The 21,429-nt window shown below is 49.1% G+C and overlaps 1 protein-coding gene across 50 annotated transcripts in view, besides 3 other annotated features; it reads left to right on the plus strand.

The window, feature by feature from the left end:
- The window catches only part of TACC2 (transforming acidic coiled-coil containing protein 2), a 265,380-nt gene that overhangs the window by 135,705 nt on the left and 108,246 nt on the right, over window positions 1-21,429 (plus strand). For 23 of the 50 annotated variants that reach the window (NM_206862.4, NM_001438366.1, XM_024447756.1 and 20 more), the window contains 2 exons: window positions 7,742-7,867; window positions 18,705-18,839. The exons of 8 other annotated variants lie outside the window; for them this stretch is intronic. In NM_206862.4, the coding sequence (NP_996744.4) occupies window positions 7,742-7,867; window positions 18,705-18,839 (261 nt within the window). The remainder of the gene's footprint in view (window positions 1-7,741; window positions 7,868-18,704; window positions 18,840-21,429) is intronic. 19 more of the 50 variants (NM_001291877.2, NM_001291876.2, NM_206861.3 and 16 more) reach the window with 2 other exon arrangements.
- Window positions 16,287-16,581: an enhancer, noted in NCBI's record as "tiled region #1076; K562 Activating non-DNase unmatched - State 22:ReprW". NCBI's record gives its function as "weakly activates a minimal TATA promoter and a strong SV40 promoter by Sharpr-MPRA in K562 cells {active_cell/tissue: K562}" and the evidence as "EXISTENCE:reporter gene assay evidence [ECO:0000049][PMID:27701403]".
- Window positions 16,287-16,601: a biological region, named in NCBI's record as "Sharpr-MPRA regulatory regions 1076 and 11287".
- Window positions 16,307-16,601: an enhancer, noted in NCBI's record as "tiled region #11287; K562 Activating non-DNase unmatched - State 22:ReprW". NCBI's record gives its function as "activates a minimal TATA promoter and a strong SV40 promoter by Sharpr-MPRA in K562 cells {active_cell/tissue: K562}" and the evidence as "EXISTENCE:reporter gene assay evidence [ECO:0000049][PMID:27701403]".

Here is a 21,429-nt window from a genome sequence, read left to right on the forward strand (position 1 = left end):
TATATCCATCATTGCTACTTTTTCTGAATCATTTGAGAGCAAGTTTCAGACATGAAGTCGCCACCCTCCAGCAAAACAAAAACAACCCCCGCCCCCTCCCAGCCCCCCAGTGTGCCTTTCTTGCAAACACTCTCCAGCACGAAGCCAGCGCAGCCCTGCAGCTGGGAAATCGCCATCCAGTCTTCAGAACCTGCTCAAATTCACCAGCAGTGTACCTTTTTCCGTCTGAACCAGAATCCAGTCAAAAAGCATGTGCCATGCTCTATGTCATGCCCCCAGACTCTCCTTCCATCTGGAGTAATTCCTCAGTCTCTCCCTGTCTTTTATGACTTTTTGAGTTTTTTTGAGACAGGGTCTCACTTTTGTTGCTCAGGCTGGAGTGCAGTGGCTCAGTCACAGCTCACTGCAGCCTTGAACTCCTGGGCTCAGGTGATCCTCCCACCTCAGCCTCCCAAGTAGCTGAGACTTCAGGTGTGTGCCACCATGCCCAGATAATTTCTTGTATTTTTTTTTAGTAGAGATTGGGTTTTGCTATGTTGCTCAGGCTGGTCTCGAACTCCTGGACCCAAGGGATCCTCCTGCTTCAGCCTCCCAAATGCCAGGATTACAGGCATGAGCCACCATGCCCGTCCCATGACCTTTATGAGTACAGCTCCTTCACGCTGGAAGAAGTCCCTCAATCTGTGTCACCTAGTTTCTTCATGGCTAGACCCTGGGTGTCTGCTTTGGGCAGGGATTCCACAGAAGTGAAGCTCTGCCACCCCAGGGCACAGAGCATGGAATGTTTTGCCACAGAGGATGGCCAGATTGGTGCCTGCCAGGTTTATTGGCTGTAAAGTCATCATTTTCACCTTTGTAATCAGTCAGCATTTGGTGGGAAGATACTCAAAGGCTACACAATATCCTTCCTTTTTTTTTTTTTTTTTTGAGAGGGAGTCTGGCTCTGTTGTCCAGGCTGGAGTGCAGTGGTGCAATCTCAGTTCACTGCAACTTCTGCCTCCCAGGTTCAAGCGATTCTCCTGCCTCAGCCTCCCGAGTAGCTGGGACTACAGGTGCGCGCCACCGCACCCAACTAATTTTTTTGTATTTTTAGTAGAGATGGGGTTTCACCATGTTGGCCAGGATGATCTCGATCTCCTGACCTCGTGATCCACCCACCTCAGCCTCCCAAAGTACTGGGATTACAGGCGTGAGCCACCATGCCTGGCCTAGCCTTTCCTTCTTCACACTCCCCACCGCCTGCCTTGGCATCCTTTGATGGCTCTTCCTTGAATTGAGTGCCACCATTAAGGTTTCTTCCATGGCAGTTTTCTGTCCTACATGGACTAACTAGCTGGCATTGTACTGTAAGGGGGGGCTTTCCCTTCTTCCCCATTTGTTCATGACTTTATTTAGGTCTAAATGGATTCATAGATTATTACTTTTATTCCATGGGTTATAATCCAGAACTGTGTGTGTGTGTGTGTGTGTGTGTGTGTGTTTGATGTTCAAATAGTCCCAGATTTGACAGTGGCAGCCCCTTTTAGGTGGTTCTTATGTCCTTTGACGCGACTCCCCCAGCTGGGAAGTAGGTACGTGTATGTACACATGCATGTGTGCACACAGCCCTCCACAACTAGTTCTGGATTTGTCTGATTCCTCTGATTGCAGCCCTGCCCTGAGGGATCTCTGGAGTCCAACCACCTTCTGTATATGCAAGCTCCTCTCTGATTGTGAGAACCTGGCTCCTATTATCCTTGATACTGGATACTATTCTTTGTAATAAATAACAAGGGGAAGGGAACAGAAGCCTTTCTGACAGAACCATCCTGGAGAGAGGGAGGGAGAAGCTTTTTTTTTTTCATCTGGAAAGCCCTTTGCACACATCGGCCTATTGAAGCACTTTGCTTGATTCAGCTATTCTCCTCTCAGGACCTGCCTGGATCATCCCAGCCTGTAGAATCCTGGGTTTCTGTGGCAGTTTGTTCTTCTGGTATCACCTGCTATGCTCTGAATGTTTGTATCCCTCTCAGCCCCGAAATTCCTGTGTTGAAATCCTAACCCCTAAGGTGATGGTATGAGGAGGTGGGGCCTTCGGGAGGTGATTAGGCCATAAGGGTGGAGCCTTTGTGAATGGGATTAGTGCCCTTATAAAAAGAGGCCCCACAGCACTGCCTTGCCTCTTCTGCCACGTGAAGATGCAGTGAGAAGGAGCTGTCTGTGAACTAGGAAGGGGTCCTCATGAGACACTGAACCTGCTGGTGCCTTGATCTTGGACTTCCCAGCCTCCAGAACTGTGAGCAATACATCTCTGTTGTTCATAAGCCACCCCATCTATGAGATTCTGTTGTAGCAGCCTGAGCCAATGAAGACACCACCCTTCACAGTTCTCCTTTCTTTGGACTTTCAGCTCCTCGGGCTTGATGAGCCTGTCACCCCTGGAGTGTGTGATCCCCATGGAATCCATCCCAGTGCCCGCCTTGGGGCTCTTCCTGTGGCATGGATCCTATGTACAGAACTGAAGATGTGGGCTTTTAAGGCTGGAACCTGAACGTCTTCCTTTTTGGACAGAGTCCATTCCACCAGTCTCTGAAAGGGGTGACTCATGGCCCTTTGCAGAAGCACTTGTTGATAGTACAGGCTTCCCTCCCTGACATTCCAGTGGCAAATCAACCCTTTGCTGGCCTGACTAAATTTATAGTGGGCTGGCCCCAGCAGCTGGTGGCAGCAGCTGGTGGTTGAAATCTGACAGATTTTTTTTTTCCTCTGAAAAATATTTCAGTCACTCTAGTCCCAGAACCACCACCAGCAGAACTTAGAAGCCATTTATAGCCTCTTACAGTTGTTCTGAGAAGAGCTGTTTTAGAAAAATCCCCCCATTTCCCCAGAAATTAGCTCTCTCCCATCCTTAGCCACCTGGAAAATATTCAGATCGTTACAAAGTCAGAAAGGGCCCGGAGCTGACAGCACAAAGTCAATTTGACAGTTTATTTCTTTGTAGCAGTTTCATATGGTTGAGCCTAATATATATGCGTCTATACACATATGTGTTTATTTTTAAATTATAAGATAATGATTTGGTACGGAAGGTTTGTAGATCTTTATTCAGAGCCTGTTGACTCCTGATTTATGCACGTTCTGACACTCTCAGCCATGTTTCTTAGCCTGTAGCCTGTTAGAAGCAGAGAACTGCAAGGCAGAAGGTGGCAGGGGGAGGCAGGTGAGTGGGTAAGTAGAAGTGACAGCTGACGGCCTGAGAGCGAGGGACAAGGCTGAGTCAGAGTTCTCGGTGATCAAGTAGTCTGGCGCTTTCACTTTTACAGACAGAAAGGCTAAAGCTCAGAGAAGTCCCCTGGCTTAGATCCCATGGTGGGCCTGGACTGGAATCCAGTCCCCTCAACTTCACATACGGTGGTTACATTTGGTGCCACAGCACTAATGTCACTCACTTATGTCATAGTTGCCGAGGACGGCTGAGTGTCATTGAGCAAGTATTTAATTATGTTCAAGATCCTCTGTCTCAAAAAAGTCAGGGAAGTGTTTATGATTTGAAAAATAATTCCATTCCAAAGAGTTTAGGTGAAAATGCCATCACGTAGAATATGTGGGCAGATATCTTTTATTCCAGATCTTCTTTGCTGGGACCTCATTTTCCAGTGGTGCCTAATGGACGAAGCCTGGCCGCGTTCCCGCCCTGGAATGAGGCTGACAAGCCTAGGTCCTCCCAGTGGAAAATATGAGTACAGAAGTGGGGAAAAGACAGTGGCTTTCTGATTGTCTCCATCTCTGAAAGCTTTCACTGAGTTATACATGGAAGTTGTTCCCTGGCACTTAAAATAACTTCTTACATATGGTTTCTAATTTATTTTACTTACAAAAGTAGTATGTGTTCAGCATAGAACTAGAAAGTAGATATAAATTTCATTAAGAAAAAACACAAATGATTTCACCACCGAAAGAGAATTACCGTTAACACCTTGGCAATACTTGTCCAAATTGCTTCATTGTTCAGGCTATTATGCTTGCGCTGTCTCTCTCTCTCTCTGTCACGTGCTCGTGTGTGTATGTCTATACATAGACTGTATAGACACACATACCCATGTATATCATTGATACACATAAAATGTGGATCATGCTGCTAAGTTTTTTCAACCTATGTTCAATTAATAATGGACATGTTTGCATCTAGATACATGAAGATCTATCTTATTTTAATTATTATTATTATTATTATTATTATTATTATTATTTGAGATGGAGTTTTGCTCTTGTCACCCAGGCTGGAGTGCAATGGCACGATCTCTGCTCACTGCAATCTCCAACTCCTGGGTTCAAGCGATTCTCCTGCCTCAGGTGCCCACTACCACACCTGGCTAATTTTTTGCATTTTTAGTAGAGACGGGGTTTCACCATGTTGGCCAGGCTCGTCTCGAACTCTTGACCTCAGGTGATCCACCTGCCTCGGCCTCCCAAGGTGCTGGGATTACAGGCATGAGCTACTGCGCCCGGCCTACCTTATTTTTTGAACAGCCGCAAACGAGTCCATCCTGTGGTTGCGCCTTAATTTGATGAACTGTCCTCTACTGTTGGGCATTTTGGTTGTTTCCAGATTTTTTGCTATCGTGATTCCAGTTGTGATCAGCATATTTGCCCATGCCCTTAATTATCTCCTTAAAATGAATTCTTGGAAGAACCATGGCTGTGTCAAAGGAAACGAAGTCTTTTATGGTTTTCAATGTGTGTTGCCAGAACTTTGGAGCTCTGTTTTTCCACTCAGATTTTATGATTTTGGAAAGTGCCCCTGTAGTTTGCCTGTAGTTTAGGATTCTAGACATTGTGATTCACCAAGACACCCAGCCGGAGCTCCTGCCATCCTCCCTCTTCTGGGCTCACTGCTTCTTCCATTTCTCTTTGCAGTGATCTCTTTCTCTGACTCCTTGGATGTGGTCACAGGGCTTCAGGATCTTGTTCTGGGGGAACTGGAATGGTGGGTGGGAACATGGAGAATGGAGAATAAGCAGTAGTGTGGGTGCACACATGTGCTAGTCCAATCGTATTGAGAGGATAGTTTTGGGAAATTCACCCTGGACCTCCGCACTGTCAATGCCAAAGGCACTTTATGGCTGAACATTGGGTTGAAGCTTCAGGCTGATTCTTCTGCCTAGGATCAATACGGAGTCTCCCTCTGTCACCCAGGCTGGAGTGCAGTGGCGCAATCTCAGCTCACTGCAATCTCTGCCTCCCAGGTTCAAGTGATTCTTGTGCCTCAGCCTCGTGTGGCTGGGATTACAGGCACACACTACCATGCACAGCTAATTTTTGTATTTTTAGTAGAGACAGGTTTTCACCATGTTGGCCAGGCTGGTCTTGAACTCCTGACCTCAAGTGATCTGCCCACCTCGGCCTCCCAAAGTGCTGAGATTACAGGTGTGAGCCACTGTGCCCAGCCAGACTCCCCCTTCTTCATCTGTACTCTAGTTGCAGTGACATTTTGCAGGTCCTCTAGAATACCAAGCTCCTTCCTGATTCAGGGTTTTTAAATACGTGGCTCCCTGAATGGGGGGTAGGGCTGAGGGTCAGGGTATACTCTTCCTTTTTTAAGCTTTAACATTTTTTCTAGAGACAGGGTCACCCTATGCTTCCCAGGCTGGTCTTCAACTCCTGGCTTCAACTGATCCTCCAGCCTCAGCCTCCCCAAAGTGTTGGGATTACAGGCATAAGCCACCGTGCCCAGCCCCTCTTCCTTCCTCTTCCACCTGTGGGACAAAGCCAAGTGTGGAGATTAAGAGCATGACTCCTGGGGTCAGGCTTGGGTTTGTATCCTGGTTCTGCCACTTAGCTGCTGTTCAACCTTCGACAAGCTGCTCAGCCTCTCTGTGCCTTAGTTTTTACATCTGTAAAGTGTGTTTAATAATCGTATCCCCCTCATAAAGGTCGTTGTGAGGATCAAATACAGTGCCATCTATACGCACTTAGAACAGTTCCTGGCACGTATACGTAGTAACCATTAGGAAACACTTGTTACTGAGCTGGCCTCAGCATGCTCACCACACCACAGAGTTTTCCACAACCCCCATTGTGGGCCAAGAGTTCTCAGTTTGTGTTCTCATGACCATCTGCACCTTCCTTCTTAGCAGTTACTACAGTTGTTACTAAATAAATAAACATTTAAAAAAAATGTCTGGGCTGGGCAAGGTGGCCCACGCCTATAATCCCAGCATTTGGGGAGGCTGAAGTGGGAGGATTGCTTGAGCCTGGGAAGTTGAGGTTACAGTGAGCCGTCATGGAGCCACTGCATTTCAGTCTGGGCAGCAGAGGGAGACGCTTTCTCAAAAAAAAAAAAAAAAAAAAAAAATCTGACTCTTGCCTGAAGCTGTCCCATGAGACGTCCCATGAAGGCAGGGACCGCTGCTCTCTTGTTCACAGCAGAGAATTGGTTTTCAATAAGGATCTGATCAAGGAGTGGAAAGAATGGTCCTGCTACTTATGGCTACAGAGCGGAGTTCATCAGAAAGTCACTCAGGGACCTCCCCGATGAAATAATAGGGTAACTGACTACAAGACGATGGGTGTCCAAGGACTGAGCCTCTTCTAGCTTCCTGAGCCACCCTGTGCTTGGAGGTTGCAGACTCTTTCAGTCCATAAAGGACCAGGGTTGTTTTTAAATTTCTAACTCATCATAGATCTAAACTTTAAAAAATATAATTAAATGAATTACTAGAAAAATGAAATAAAACTCAAGGCTGGGGTTTCTCAACCTTGGCACTATTGATGTTCTGGACCACATAGTCCTTTGTCTTGGGGACTGTCCTGTGTGTGGTAGGATGTTGAACCTGTCCTTTTATTATTAGATTTAACAGACATGAACGTAGTCTATCAAATTGCTACAGAGGGGCCAGGCGTGGTGGCTCATGCCTGTAATCCCGGCACTTTGGGAGGCCAAGGCGGGCAGACCACTTGAACCTAGGAGTTTGAGACCAGCCTGGCCAACATGATGAAACCCCAACTCTACTAGAAATGCAAAAATTAGCCAGGCGTGGTGGTGGGTGCCTATAATTCCAGCCACTCGGGTGGCTGAGGTACGAGTATTGCTTGAACCCGTGAGGCGGCGGTTGCAATGAGCCGAGATCACGTCATTGCACTTCAGCCTGGGTGACAGAGCGAGACAGTCTCAAAAAAGAAAGAAAAAGAAAGAAAGAAAGAAAGAAAGAAAGAAAGAAAAAGAAAGAAAGAAAGAGAAAGATCTACAAAGGTTTCTAAACACTTACTTGAGGTTTCTGTACTACTCTTGGCATAGACTGGTGACAGACCCTGCTTTGAGCAGCACCAAACTCATCCCTCACAGAAAGGGAAACTGAGGCCCTGCTCAGGATCCAGATAGAAATGTGCTGTTAAAACACATTGAAAACTTGTAGGAGGCCAGGCACGGCGGCTCACGCCTGTAATCCCCACACTTTGGGAGGCCGAGGCATGCAGATCACCTGAAGTCAGGAGTTTGCGACCTGCCTGGCCAACATGGTGAAACCCGATCTCTACTAAAAATACAAAAAAATTAGCTGGCTGTGGTGGCGGGGCGCCTGTAATCGCAGCTACTCAGGAGGCCAAGGGAGGAGAATTGCCTGTACCCTGGAGACAGAGTTTGCAGTGAGCGGAGATCGCGCCATTGCCCTCCAGCCTGGATAAGAAAAGCGAAACTCCGTCTCAAAACAAAAACTTGTAGGAATGTTTCTGAGTTTAGGTTCTTTCCCTTTTCTCTCCCCAGTTCACCTGTGGCAGATGATATCATCCAGCCCGCTGCCCCCGCAGACCTGGAAAGCCCAACCTTAGCTGCCTCTTCCTACCACGGTGATGTTGTTGGCCAGGTCTCTACGGATCTGATAGCCCAGAGGTACGGTGGGGGCCCTGGAGCTGGTGATGAGACCTCAGGGCCCAATCCTTGAGGCTGCCTTCCCCCGCTCCCCTCCCTTCCCCTCCCCTCCTCTCTTTTCTCCTGCAGTTTCACCCCCTCTGCACACACACACAGGGTGTGCACACCTGTCCTGAACAGGTGTGTGCCAGAGTTGGGGCCTCTTCTTGTGACCTTAGGAATGATCTGAGATACCAGGAAGACCGTTTCCCCTGTCCCGGCCCCCAAGACATACAAGGGGCATTTTACAGACTTTTTTCCTATGTGGCCTTCAGGGGTCCCTATTTGAAACAGAAACCCTCCAGTAGAGAGAACGTGCTACTTCTCCTTTTTCAGGGAACGGTTGAGTTAGCTGCCTTCTGATCTCCTGGGACAGAGCTGGATTCACTGCTCATTTTCTTTCATTTTTTGATGGTGGTCAGAGAAGAGGAGGGTCAGCAGCACATGGCAGGGGAGCCAGGGGCCTGGGGTCCCCGCCCCTGCCCTTCTGCCATGTCACCTCCCACCAGCCTCCCTTCGTTTTGCTCTTCACACCCCAGCAACCCCACACTGATCACGGTTCTCCGTCTACACTGTGCTTGGCCTGGATTCAGGCTTCACTGCTCCTTCTGCCTGCAAACTTGGCATTTAACCCGGGCTTTCCCAGAATCAGCTCAGAGTCAGCTCAGATGCCCATATATGCATATATAGGCACACATGGACATGTATGCCTCCACATGTCTCTCCATACACACATGTACACGTGTATGTCTACATGTCTATACACACACATGTCTGTGTGTGTGTCTATGAATACACGCGTGCACACATTTTAATTTCTGTTTATATCAGTGAAGCATCTGCTTTTTGCCCAATATTGCACAGTGCTGGGGAAGCCATGGTGAATAGGCAGATGCTGTCCCTTCCCTCCTGGAACTCATGGCCCAGTGACCCTTCCTCCCAGAAGCCTTCTCCCCACGCTGAGAGAAGCCTGCATCTGAATTCCTGCAGTCACCCGTTGTGCCCCTATGTCACTGCCCTCCACAGATCCTTGTAAATGACCCGTATCTAATTCCGTCTCCTTCACTAGACTGGGAACTCCTTGAGGGAGGAACTGGTCACCTGTAATCTCTGGAACCGCAGTACCCAAGATGGCATTGGGCAGGCCCTGGAGGAATGGTGGCGACTTGAACCAGATGAGGGGGGGACAGGGACCTGGGGGCTGGCCCGTGCTGACCCTCTTCCTTGGGGTGCAGGCAGGCGGCCGACAGCACCAAGACACCTCTTCAAAACTAGGAGGAGGTACCTGGTGGGGGAGAAAGCAGAGGACGGGATAGATAGGGCAGGAAGCTGCAGGCTGGAAGCAGATATTCCAGGGCAGCCATGCAATGATGTGGAAATTTAGACGTTCCTTTTATAGGTGGGAGTCAGCCATAGTTCTTTTTTTTTTTTTTTCCTGAGACGGAGTCTCACTCTGTCACCAAGGCTGGAGTACAGTGGCACAATCTCTGCTCACTGCAACCTCCGCTTCCTGGGTTCAAGCGATTCTCCTGCCTCAGCCTCCCGAGAAGCTGGAATTACAGGCGTGCGCCACCATGCCCACCTAATTTTCTTGTATTTTTTTTTAGTAGAGATGGGATTTTGCCATGTTGGCCAGGCTGTTCTCAAACTCCTGACCCCCAGGTAATCTGCCTGCCTCGGCCTCCCAAAGTGCTGGGATTACAGGCGTGAGCCACCTCGCCTGGCCGAGTCAGCCATAGTTTTTACTTTTGTGTGACTTTAACTTCTTAAAGGAAAAACCCTAGCTGCGAACGAAGGCCCCCAACCCTCAAGAAGTGTACAGAAGTTTCCAGTGAGACGTGGGGCACCCCCTTCCTGTCTGTCCTATTCCTCCCCCTCTTTGTCCCATTTGGCTCCCTGACCACCACCGTTTTAGGAAGACCCAGGGGCCTCTGGCTGTAGCCAATGGGGCACGCCCTCCCTTAGCAAAGCCTGGAAGGGAGCCGAGATCACTCTCACCCGATGCTCCCATCTTACAGTCGGGGGATGCGGGGGCACGAGGAAGCTCTGAGGAGAGGATGGCGCTGGACTTGGCGGGATGGCTCTCAGAGAGCTGCAGTCCAGCGGAGGGTGTAATGGGTGCTTCTGAAGGCCCCTCCCATGCCTGAGACTGCATGTTTTAAGTGACTTGTCCCAGGCTCCATAGTAGGTGAGTGGCACATGCTCTTAAGTCTCCTTTTCCCTGGACACTTCCCATGCTCCAGGCACCATGCTGGGTGTGTTTCATCGAGTGTCTCCGTAAATCCTCATGCCAGCTGTAGAAGGTGGGAACTGCTGTCATGGCTGCCATCTCACAGTTGAGCAGACTGGGGCTCAGAGACGTTAACATGCTCCAGTACACATAGCTAGTAAGTGGCAGAGCTGGGACTGCAGCAGCTCTGGCCCGGCTGCCCACCTGTGTTCTGAAACCTCCACTGGCAGAGCTGCGGGAGAGCCAGGCTTCCTCGAGATACCGTGTCCTGGGGCCCCGCCTGTATCCATGGTCTCTCTCTAGTCCAAGGAAGGTAATGCATTAGGTAATGCAGCTGTGTTACCTACAACCCTGACCAAGAGTGACCACAGAATGCAGGAGGGGACCAGTGGCTAAGCAGAGGTGTCAGTGCTGAGAACTCGGCCAGTTTCATGGCCTTATCTCCTTATGGAAAGACTCAGAACTCTGGGCAGAATGCAGGCATGATTAAAACCTGGGGGAGTATTTGACTAAGGAATGAGCAATTTTGGTGCCTTGTTGGTGTTACTGAACATTTATCCAGAGTCGTGTTGTCTTGTTGTTTTTACTGGATTGGTGGAAAAGAGATAGTTCTGTTAATACCAAGGATTGGTCTGACTTTGGTCACCAGATGCCTCTGTAAAATACAGTCGATCCTCGTTGGCAGATTCCATATTTGTGAATTTGCCTTCTCACTAAAATGTATTGATTACCCCAGAGTTGATACTTGTGGTCCTTTCTCAGTCATTTGCAGACATGTGCAGAGCTGCCCAGCACACACGTTCTCAGCTAAGATTGAACGAGGCAACGCCCTGCCTTCTTGTCGTGGCTCTGGCACTGCAAACAAGTGTCCTTACGTGGCATAGTTAGTTCAACTGTTGTGCTTTTCCTTGGTGAGCACATTGTTTCAAATGAGCCCTAAGCATGATGCTGAAGTCCCCTCCTAAGTGCAACAACAGGCCTCGGGGCGAAAAGTTGTGCTTTAGAGAAGCTTCCTCCCGGCATGAGGGGTAGTGCTGGTGGCTGTGAATTCAATGAAGCAAAATTACCTATTAAATAAGGCATCTTTAAACAGAAGCACACATGGAACAAGGTTATGTTTTGGTTGATTGGCTGATGAAAATGCTGTGCCTAGAAACTCACAGGAAGCTACCCCTATGTTTCCTCTAGAGGCAATAATTCAGTGTCTCCTAATTCAGGGTTCATGGCGACTTGGTAGAACATTCCTGTGAATAGCAAGAATCAACAGCACTTCACCTTGCCCATCTGCTGGAGAAACTAAGCGGGCGTCCTAGTGTGCAGTGGCGATTTAAGCGCAGCAGTGTCCCCGCCACCCCATCCACCTGCAATCCCTCTGCACTTTCTGCTTCCCATAAGGAGAGAGGCAGAGGGTGGGATGCGGAAGGAGGGGAGGGACCAACATGGGGCAGGGGGCAGGCTGGAACAGTCCTCGGGAGAGGTGTGCCTTTTCAGTAGTTTAAATTTAAAAATTAAATTGAAATGAATATATATATATATGTGTGTATGTATGTTTGTGTGTGTGTGTATATATATATATATATATATATATTAGATGTAGTCTTGCTCTGTCGCCCAGGCTGGAGTGCAGTGGCACAGTCTGGGCTCACTGCAAACTCGGCCCCCTGGGGCTCAAGCAATTGTTCTGCCTCAGCCTCCTGACTAGCTGGGATTACAGGCGTGCACCACCATGTCTGGCTAATTTTTGTATTTTTAGTATAGATGGTGTTTTGCCATGATGGCCAGACTAGTCTCAAACTCCTGACCTCAGGTGATCTGCCTGCCTTGGCCTCCCAAAGTGCTGGGATTACAGGCGTGAGCCACTGAACCCAGCAGAATTTTTTTTAATTAATAAAAAAAATTTAAAAAAAAGTAGGGCTGGAGCATTTGCTTTAAGCCAGCTGAGAGAAAAACAGAGAGCAAGCCTCACTCCTCCTTCCCTGTTGCCTGCTAATTCTTTGGTGCCCTGCCCTCTAGTTTCAAGAGCTCTTTTTTTTTCTGAGTAGCGGAAAAAGAAGGCACCTCTATCTCTAAGGTATTTCTCAAATAAAATGAAAGGGATTTCGATGCACCCTTTCTCTATTGTTAATGCCACTGGAGGGCACCAAAATTTGCTTCTTTCCTCAGGGAAGAGCTGTGAAGCTGCTTCGGGGGTTGAGCTAACCCTGGATGACAGAGAAAGCTGGGCCCAGATCTTCTGGAACTTTGAACAAATGACCACATTGCCTATGGCCACTTGTACTCTCATCTGTTCAGTATTTTCATTAAAAAAAAAAAAAGCAGAATGAGCCTGGGTAACCCTGCCTCTACAAAAATCAGCCGGTTGTGGTGGTGCGTGCCTGTAGTCCCAGCTACTCAGGAGGCTGGGGTGGGAGGATTGCTTGAGCCCAGGAGATGGAGGTTGCAGTGAGCTGAGACCAGGCTGAGAGCCTGGTTGACACACTGAGGCCCATCTAAAAAAAAAGCAGAATGGTTTTTTCAATGAAACCTTCCAGCTGCTGTACCACTATGTATTAAGCAGTGAAATGGGACACATCCAAGAGCCTCTTGTGCTTTTCCCACAGTCAAGAATCCATGCAGAGAGGTCCCCTGAGAACTTCAGGACTCCCACCCACACGGCTGAAAAATTACTTACTGGACTTGTGTCTGTGGGTCAGACTTCAGTGTGCATCAGAATCACCTGCTGACAACCCAGATATGCTGCCCTCTTCCCAGAGTCTGATTGAGGGGGGTGTTGGGAGGGGCCCACACCTGCATTTCCAGTCCTTGGAGAACCACCAGGTGAAGGCAGTGTTGTCCAGGCGCTTGCTTTTCTCCTCACCTGTGAACAGGTTTGAGCAGCTCATCACAGCTCCTCAGGAAGGGAGACACCAGGCCCAGCAGCTGGCGGCTGAAGTTTCTGATCTCTGACTTTGGACAGAAGGAGGTGGGATAGCCCCTGCTGAGTGTCATAGCCTCACCAGCGAGTTTCCAGATTCAGAAGCAGAGTTTAAAATGGTCAGAAGTTGAAAGGCCCGGGAATTCATACTGACTACAGCTTTTATTTCTTCTCTTGCTTCCAAATCATGTAGTTTATTTTTTTTTTTTCTGACTGCACAATAAGATTTTTTTGTCTTCCCTCTATGGGTATGCATAAGTGAGTTCAACCACCTCACAAAGGTTAGTTGAACCTTTATTTAAGCAGGTGCCTTATTAAAAACTGAATGATAGGTTGGGTGCGGTGGCTTATGCCTGTAATCCCAGAGCTTGGAGAGGCCAAGGCAGGGATCACCTGAGGTCAGGAGTTTGAGACCAGCCTGGCCAACATGGCAAAATCTTGTCTCTACTAAATATGTAAAAAAATTAGCTGGGCGTGGTGGCAGGCATCTGTAATCCCAGCTACTTGGGAGGCTGAGGCAGGAGAATTGCTTGAACCTGGGAGGCGGAAATTGCAGTGAGCCGAGATCGTGCCATTGTACTCTAGCCTGGACGATAAGAGTGAAACTCAGTCTCAAAAAATAAACAAACAAACAAAGACTGAATGATAAAGTGGAGGAATTATTTTTAATTTAGAAAATGGATCTCCCAAAAGTCTTCTCTGAATAACAGAATTCCTTTGTACCTTTAGAAGGTACTTTGACATTCATGAATCAGATTTGTGAAGCCAGCACCCAGCGTGCTGAGTGAATTGGGGTGCACCTTTACATTTCTTCAGAGCCTTTGAGTTTCCATTGTCTGTCTGGCTGCTGTTGGGGTTGAACCACATGAACTGCCACATTGGCAAGTGTCAGATATTGAGAATTTCATACGGTTCACACTCACACAAGATTCTGTTCTTGTTTTGGTTTTTCATGCTTCTTGAGCTGCTTTATCTGTATAGGCAGATTTTGACTTTCTGAATAAATAATCTTGGATATCCAAGATCAGTCTCCTTTTATCCCTTGTGTCTCCACCCCTGTAGCCTCTGTAAACCAGGACTCATCCCCAGAGAGCTCAGGACATAAGGAAATCTTGCCCCTGGGCCCGCAGAGCTGCTGGTGATGACCAGGCGTGGGGATTCATAACTTGGACGATCCAAGCCAGACCAAAGCCTCGCCTATGGTTTTGGGATGGTGTTTATCACTTTTCCCTTGGTGAATATTTTCCTTCCTGCTTAAGTTTTGCTTGTGCCAAATTTGAAAATAACATCCCTCCTCTGAGCACGGGCTCTCTCTGTGAAGGTAAAGTGGATAGACGTGTGCCAGGGAAGAGCTGACCAGCCAGTTCAGGGTTAACTGCGCAGGAGCCCAGCGCCCGCTGGAAATCTGCAGATCAGCTTGTTTGGGGCTGCTCACGCTCTCACGTGAACTGGCTGGTGCTCGAATGCTGGTGGATCTCACCAACGACCAGAAATATCTGGATGTGCCTGCCTCGGAGCTTCCAGCCAATTCACAAGCACCTCTCAGCACCTTCTGATTTTGGCTTTGGGGCTTTTCAGTGGCTGCCTCTGAGAGACGCCTGTTCTATCTCCCATTGCTGAGTCTCATTTTATCAAGTCCCAGGCCTCCGTGGGACTGGCTGTCCAGCATTTGTATCAACCAAGCCTGGCTCTCCAAACCCACAATTTCACAGCACTTTCCTTTCTGCACTTTGCATCTCACCTTCAGCATGACCTGAGTCTTCGGCCTTAACGCTTGCCCTATTATGTGATCATGTGCACTTGGGAATTTCGGAAGAAAAAAATCAAGAGGCCTGGGAGGAAGGGCTGTTAGTGCTAAATGCCTTCCAGATGGTGATGTGAAATGGGAGATAAGATGCTGTCACCCATCTGGCCAACAGGACTGATGTGTTTGGCCTGCACCTTGGGGGCTGTTATCACCCTCCCGTGACAGCCTGGGCCACTCTGGTGTTTGTCCTTGCACAAGGGCTTAATTTGGCAGCTCCAGCCAATCTCTGAAATGAAATTTGCTATCAGTTCAGTGAGGGATCTGCCTAGCGGGACTCAAAAGCCCTGACCAGGGAATCAAAGGACAACAGCTGCTGACGGTGTCTCACTGCGGCCGGATCTGCAGGGCTGTCGGGCTGAATGTGAGCCCTGGAGCTGTGTGTGTGGCTGGAGACTGCAGCCGAATGGGCAGTGGGACCAGTTGTTGTTTGTGAGGACCTTAGCAAGGTGCTAACTCAGGGACAGCAAACTCTTCAGATCCATCGTCTCTGATCCATTGGTAATGGTTCTCTAGGGATCTGTGTTGCGATGGATTCTGAGGTCTTGTCTAGCTGGGCTTAGCAGGAAAGAACGCCTTGATCAATAAGTCATGGCTGTCTGCTGAAAGCGTGGTGGTTTATATGCTGTCAGCTCTGTCCTAAACAAAAAGAAATAGCAGGTTGAACTTAAATCAACATATCCTTCCTCTTCCAAAAATATAAACACTCTACATGAATTTGAATTCAGCTTCTTCGTTATTCCAATAAGGTTTGGAAAACACTGATTAACTCCTTAAATGGAAAAAGGCATCCCAGATGTTTAGCCCCAGGCTAGCTTTCCGCCAGAGGAAGACAGCAAGATAACTCTAGCAGGTGGAATGAGACTACAGAATGTGCGGACCCCATATCAGTGCCCTGCTCTCTCTGGGCTGGGTTTGGCAGCTGTCTGGAAGGTTCTGCAAAGGCCTGGGATTGGTCCTGGGCATTTGTTCAGGGCCCGACTTCCTGAGAACAATGTCTTTAAGAGGAGTCACTGCTGGTCACGGGAGGCTTGAACGCAGATGGGAGCTGACTGGGGTTGTTGGTGAGGAGCTGGCTGCCGGCTGCCCCTACCTGCTTACTCGCTTTGCTTGAGCAACATTGCCCTCTGGCAGCTCAGGGGGAGTTCAAGGGACCTTGACTAGGCTCCTGGAGGACCAGCTTCCGAATGCCGTGGAAAGTCAGGGAGGGCTTTACTCAGTGGAAGGACCTGATCAGAACTTGAGTTGGGTCATTCTGGTGGCTGTGGGGCCTTGGATCTGAGGGGACAAAACGGAAAGCAGGCACAGCAGGATAGCCCAGGAGTCCTGCTCAGAGAGGGCAGATTCCAGAAGGAGAAGGAGGTGACTCAGCAGGAAGGGGTGATGAGGGGCATGGGAATGAGAGAACTGGAAGTCAGTGCCAGGGCCTGGCGGGCTGATGGTGCCACTACCTTGCTGGGAAAATTGGGGGAGGAGGAGGAGGGTCAGGAGGGAAGAGGAGAAGTTCTGTTGGGCCCAGGAGGTGTCTGTGGGGGCCCATGTGTTAGCGCTTGGGCTTGGATGGTGAGTCACTGAGTGTTTCCTCGTGGGAGCCTGACCTCCTCGGCCCCTGGGTATGAGCCAACAGGCGGTGGAAGGAGGGGGGCGCCTTTCTTAAATGAGCTGTTGAGTCACACTTGTTTGATGCCTTTGGCTAACGGGACCCAGCCAGCGCAGGAAGGGTGTGGCCATGGCAGTTGGGACCAACAGAAGGAAGGGAGGAGGGAGCAGCCAGGTGGCCCCTCAGGAACAGGAGCAGCTGTGGGTGTTAAGGGCAGGCGGGGGAGCTTGGTGAGTGAGCCTTGGTTGTGCTGCCCCAGGGTGTTCTCAGAGATGGGGCAGGTGTAGCCTTGGGCATCTGCATCAGATCCCAGGGCTGTCAGCTGTCACAGAGCTGGCTTTGTTGTGATTAGCAGCGGGCCACAGATCTAAGGTAGCATCTCCCCCCCACCCGCCACTGTTTTCTAAGACAGAGATCCTTCCTTGCAGTTTGATAAACAGTACCCTTAAATCACAGAACCACAAACAATACCACCTTTCCACAATTTGCATTAAACTAAGTAAAATCTTGGTGGGATGTGTGTGGTGGAGGGGGGAGCACAGCAGTGTAATTTCTTGAGAAAGCGAAGTTAGACTAGTAGTTTGCGTTTGTAAGTGGTCCATTTGCCGATTATGAGTACATGTCAGCCTCCAAAGTGCAAAATAGCTCTCTTAAGGAGCTTAAATGCCTCTGGTAGTTTGCATTATTCATTTTGAGTCATTCTTTTACAAAATGATTAATTTTAGCCACTGCCCAAATTGTTGCAAATAATAGTTTGACAAAGGAGGCCAGTCACTCCATCTGTGAATCCACTTTGCTGTTTTGCTGGGTTTCCTCCAAGCACTTGTAATTTTTGTTCCCCCGTGGATTGGTCTGCTCTGGGCTTTCCTAGGTCGTTATTTCTTGGGCTCTGTTTTCCTCTGTGGAGCCCCGAGGGAGCAGGCAGCATGGGTTCCAGCCCTGGCTCTGCTCCCACACTTGGTTGCAGCCAGTTGGACACTTGGCGGTATCCCCTCTGCCTGCTGTGGGCGGCCTGGCCCAGGGTTGCGATCCTGCGGTGGATGTGGCAGATGTGGCCCCTGTCCTCGTGGAGCTCTGAGGCCAGGACGGTGAGGGGCTGGGAAGTGCCTGCTGGACCTGCAGAATCTGCTAAGCTGTGACCAGACTTATGGGCAAGACTGAGTCCTCTGTCCAGTGTACAGTGTGGGTGCCTATGGCAGCTGCCCTTCAGACCAGGGTGCTAGCCTGTCAGGTGGACCTCGAAGAGATGGAGTGAGCAGACATAGCAGCCCAGAGGCCCACGCACCCTGGACTCCTGCAATCTGGGAGCTCCCTGGAGGTGTTTACCCGCAGAGGGAAGCAGTGATCCCTCACTGCAAGGGCTGTGACGCCACAAACCCCAGCTACCACCTCAGGCTGGGTTTCAGGCCGTCTGTGCTGAGTCTTGTATTCCAGCCTGGCTACCCCAAGACACCTTCAGCCTGGCCAGTCCCACTGTGGACCAGAGCAGGGATGGCTGGAGAGGCTGGGAGGGTACCACCCTGAAAGCTGTTCCCAGGCTTTAGTCTGTGGAGGCCGTTGCTAGCCTTGCTTTTTGCCAGTGGGGAAAATCAGAACCTCTTCTGCACTGCAAGCCTGTGCCTTTTGGCTTTTGTGGGGAGTGGTCTCCAGTGCTACCCCCGGAGGCCCCGCACGCTGTGGTTCCCTGGCTGTCCAGCAGGGGGCACTCGTTCCCTACTCGAGGGCCACACTCCGTCTCTGAAACTCATTCCTCCCCCAGGACACGGGTGGCCCAACTGGTCCCGGGGCAGGTTCCCGAATTTCCCATCATCCTTTTCCCCTGGATTTTTCTCAGCCTTGGGATTTGCGGGCAAAGCCTGGGGAATTTGTAAAGTTGTATTTTAGTTCTCACCTTGTAGAGTTTCATTGCCTATCACAAACGAATAGAAATCATCATAAAAAAAATCCTCTCCTCTAAACAAAAATCAAACGAGAAAACTCACATAGCGTGTCCTGGACACCTGAGCTGCCTCTGTTAAAGAAACCCGGTTCTACAGAAGCTTAAGGAGGGAGGAGCTTAAGGGCCTGGCCTGGGAGCCACTTCGTTGCAGCCACAGGCCCTGCTGTGCAGAAGTGGAGGCCTGGATGGGGAAGCCGGGGAGCCAAGTGCTGGGGTTTAAAGAGTCCATTCCATGTGTGGGCGGGTGGGTTGGGTGGGGTGAATGGGGCCTGATGAATGTGCCATTAATGAGCCCAGCACCATGTGGAATAATTCCCTCATTGTGTCCCCAGCATCTCCCCAGCTGCTGCCCATGCGGGTCTTCCTCCCTCGGCTGCAGAACACATAGTTTCGCCATCTGCCCCAGCTGGTGACAGAGTAGAAGCTTCCACTCCCTCCTGCCCAGATCCGGCCAAGGACCTCAGCAGGTATTGCGCAAGTCCCCCTCCACAGCACCTGCCCCCGGAGAGCAGGGGCCTGGTGGTCTCTGCCCCCTAGGTCTTGGGGTGAGCCGCATTTAGGATGGTAACAAGGTGGTGACCATTTGGCCCCGTGAGACCATGTCTCTGACCCTTTGGGCCATAGCCGATCTCAGGTTTACCCTTGCCCACCTGCTCCTCATGTCACAGTGGGAAGCATGGTGTGGGCGAGTGCGTTAGGGTTCTGCACAGAAACAGAGCCAATAGGATGGATAGATGGATGGATGATCTATATGTGTATGTATTTATATGTATATATATATGCAGAGAGAGGGATTTATTTTAAGGGATTGGCTCATGTGATTGTGGGGGCTAGCAAGTCTGAAATAATGCAGGGCAGGCTGGAGAGTAGGGAAGAGTTGTTGTAGCAGAGCCCCAAGGCCATCTGCTGGCAGAATTCCCTTTTCCTTGGGGAAGGTCAATCCTTTTCCTTTAAGGCCTTCAACTGATGGGATGAGGTCCACCCACATTATAGGAGGTAATCAGCTTTACTCAAAATCTACTGATTTCAATATTAATCTCATGTAAAAAATATCTCCACAGTGAAATTGAGACAGGTTGGATCAAATATCTGGGTTCAATGGGCCAGCCAAGTTGACACATAAAGTTAATGATTAGAGCAAGTATTTGGAACTCCTGTTTCCATGCAAGCAGTTGGTTTTGATTATAAATCATTAAAGCCTCCTAAAGAGCATTCTTGGACAGTATTTTGTAGAGAGCCAAATGCATCTGGGTGTGCTGAGAACGGCAGGCCTCGGTCCTCAGGGAGCTCCTGCTGGCTGGGAAGCACACAGTGCTGAAAGCTAAGCCATGGTAGAGGGCAAGAATATAAGGGGTGCCCAAAGCGTAGACAACCAGCTGCCAAACCAGAGTGTCGGGAAGTAGTAGAGAAATCAGAGGAAGGGAACATCACCACATGCAGATGATATTCTAGAATACCGGGTAACAGTAGGGTGGGCCCAGAGCTGGACCAGAGTCTGCCTTATCTGGATGATGCCACCTAGACCATTAAACTCTTCTCTGTCCTGTATCTCCTGGCATCTACCTGCAGCTCTGTTGGTCCTGAGTCCCAGAGGGACTTTCCATCCTTCAGATTGTTGTTGGCAGAGCAGGAACATTTGTTCCACCCCTCTTGGATCCACCGCAGTGCCTGGTCTGCCATAATTCTTGGCCCAAGGACAAGGAAATGTATGGGAGGTCTGCTTTTCTGCTGGTGAGATAGCACAAGCAGAGGTTGGGGAGCAGGAACATCCCCAGCTGTTTGGGGAAACACCCTTGGTTTGCCTTGGACATAGTAGGTGCACAACCAAAATGTGTTGGAGAAAGAAATACAATTACTCTTCTCAAATATTCTGCCCTTCAGTTTCTTATAAAGGTAAACATAAATCCACAATATGACCCAGCAATCCCATTTTTAGATATTTACCTATGAACGATGAAAATATATGTCTACCTAAAAACTTGTATGCATGTATTCTTCATAATTGCCCCAAATTTGAAACAACCCAGATATCTATCCACTGGTGAAAGGATCAACAAATTGTGGTATATCTATGCCAAGGAATATTACTCACCCATAAAAAGGAACAAGCTATTGATTCATGCAACTAAATTGATGAATCGCAAATGCATTAGGCTAAGTGAGAAAGACTGGACTCAAAAGACTACATTCTACATGATTCAGTCTAGATGAGATTCTGGGAAAGGCAAAACAATAAGGAATGGAAAACAGATCAGTGGGCACTGGGGGCTGGGATTTGTATTGACTACAAATGAGCATGAAGAGATCTTTGTGGGGGGTGATGGAAATGTTCTGTAAAATTTGTGGAACTATATACTTAAAAAGAGTGAATTTTACTATTTTTTGGTATGTAAGTTATACCTCATTTTTTTTAAAAGAACTTATCCAAGGGCTAGAGTAGATTTTTGATGAAATCTAAAATAAAAATTTCAACCTTCAGACCTTTTGCTGATGCAGTGTTAGGGTCAGAGAGCATCTCTGGTGCCTCCTGGCACCAGCAGACACAAGTGGTACCCATTTGCTCTATGTCTTTCTTTCCTGAGGTCAGATGGGCTCACGGCTCTCAACCTGTCATAGAAGGCACACTGGGTGATCTCACCTTTAGCCCTGGAGCCCACTCTGTGTGGGTTGCTTCTGAATCTCATTCATTTACACATCTGAGCCATTCAGCAACATGAACTTGGGATTACTCTGGGCCAATCACTGTGCTAGGGACAGGACACAGAGGTCTGGAAGACAGGCACCGTCCTGCCCTCAAGGAGCATCCAGTGCTGGCAGATAGACATGGAGCAATGAGTTACTAGGGGAGAAGTGCAGCACCCTGGATGGATGCGACCCACAACCTCACTTAGTCTGGGTAGCTGAGGATGGCTTCCCAGGGAATCGACTGAGAGCTTAGGCTGAGTGGGTTTATGTGTGGGCTGGGCCGGAGGTTGCTGAAGATACAGAAGAGAATAGATATTGTTGGGGAGAAACAGCATGTGCATGGACCCTGAGGTCCATCTCAAAAAAAAAAAG

Source organism: Homo sapiens, chromosome 10, assembly GCF_000001405.40.
Source record: "Homo sapiens chromosome 10, GRCh38.p14 Primary Assembly".
Lineage (NCBI taxonomy): Eukaryota > Metazoa > Chordata > Mammalia > Primates > Hominidae > Homo > Homo sapiens.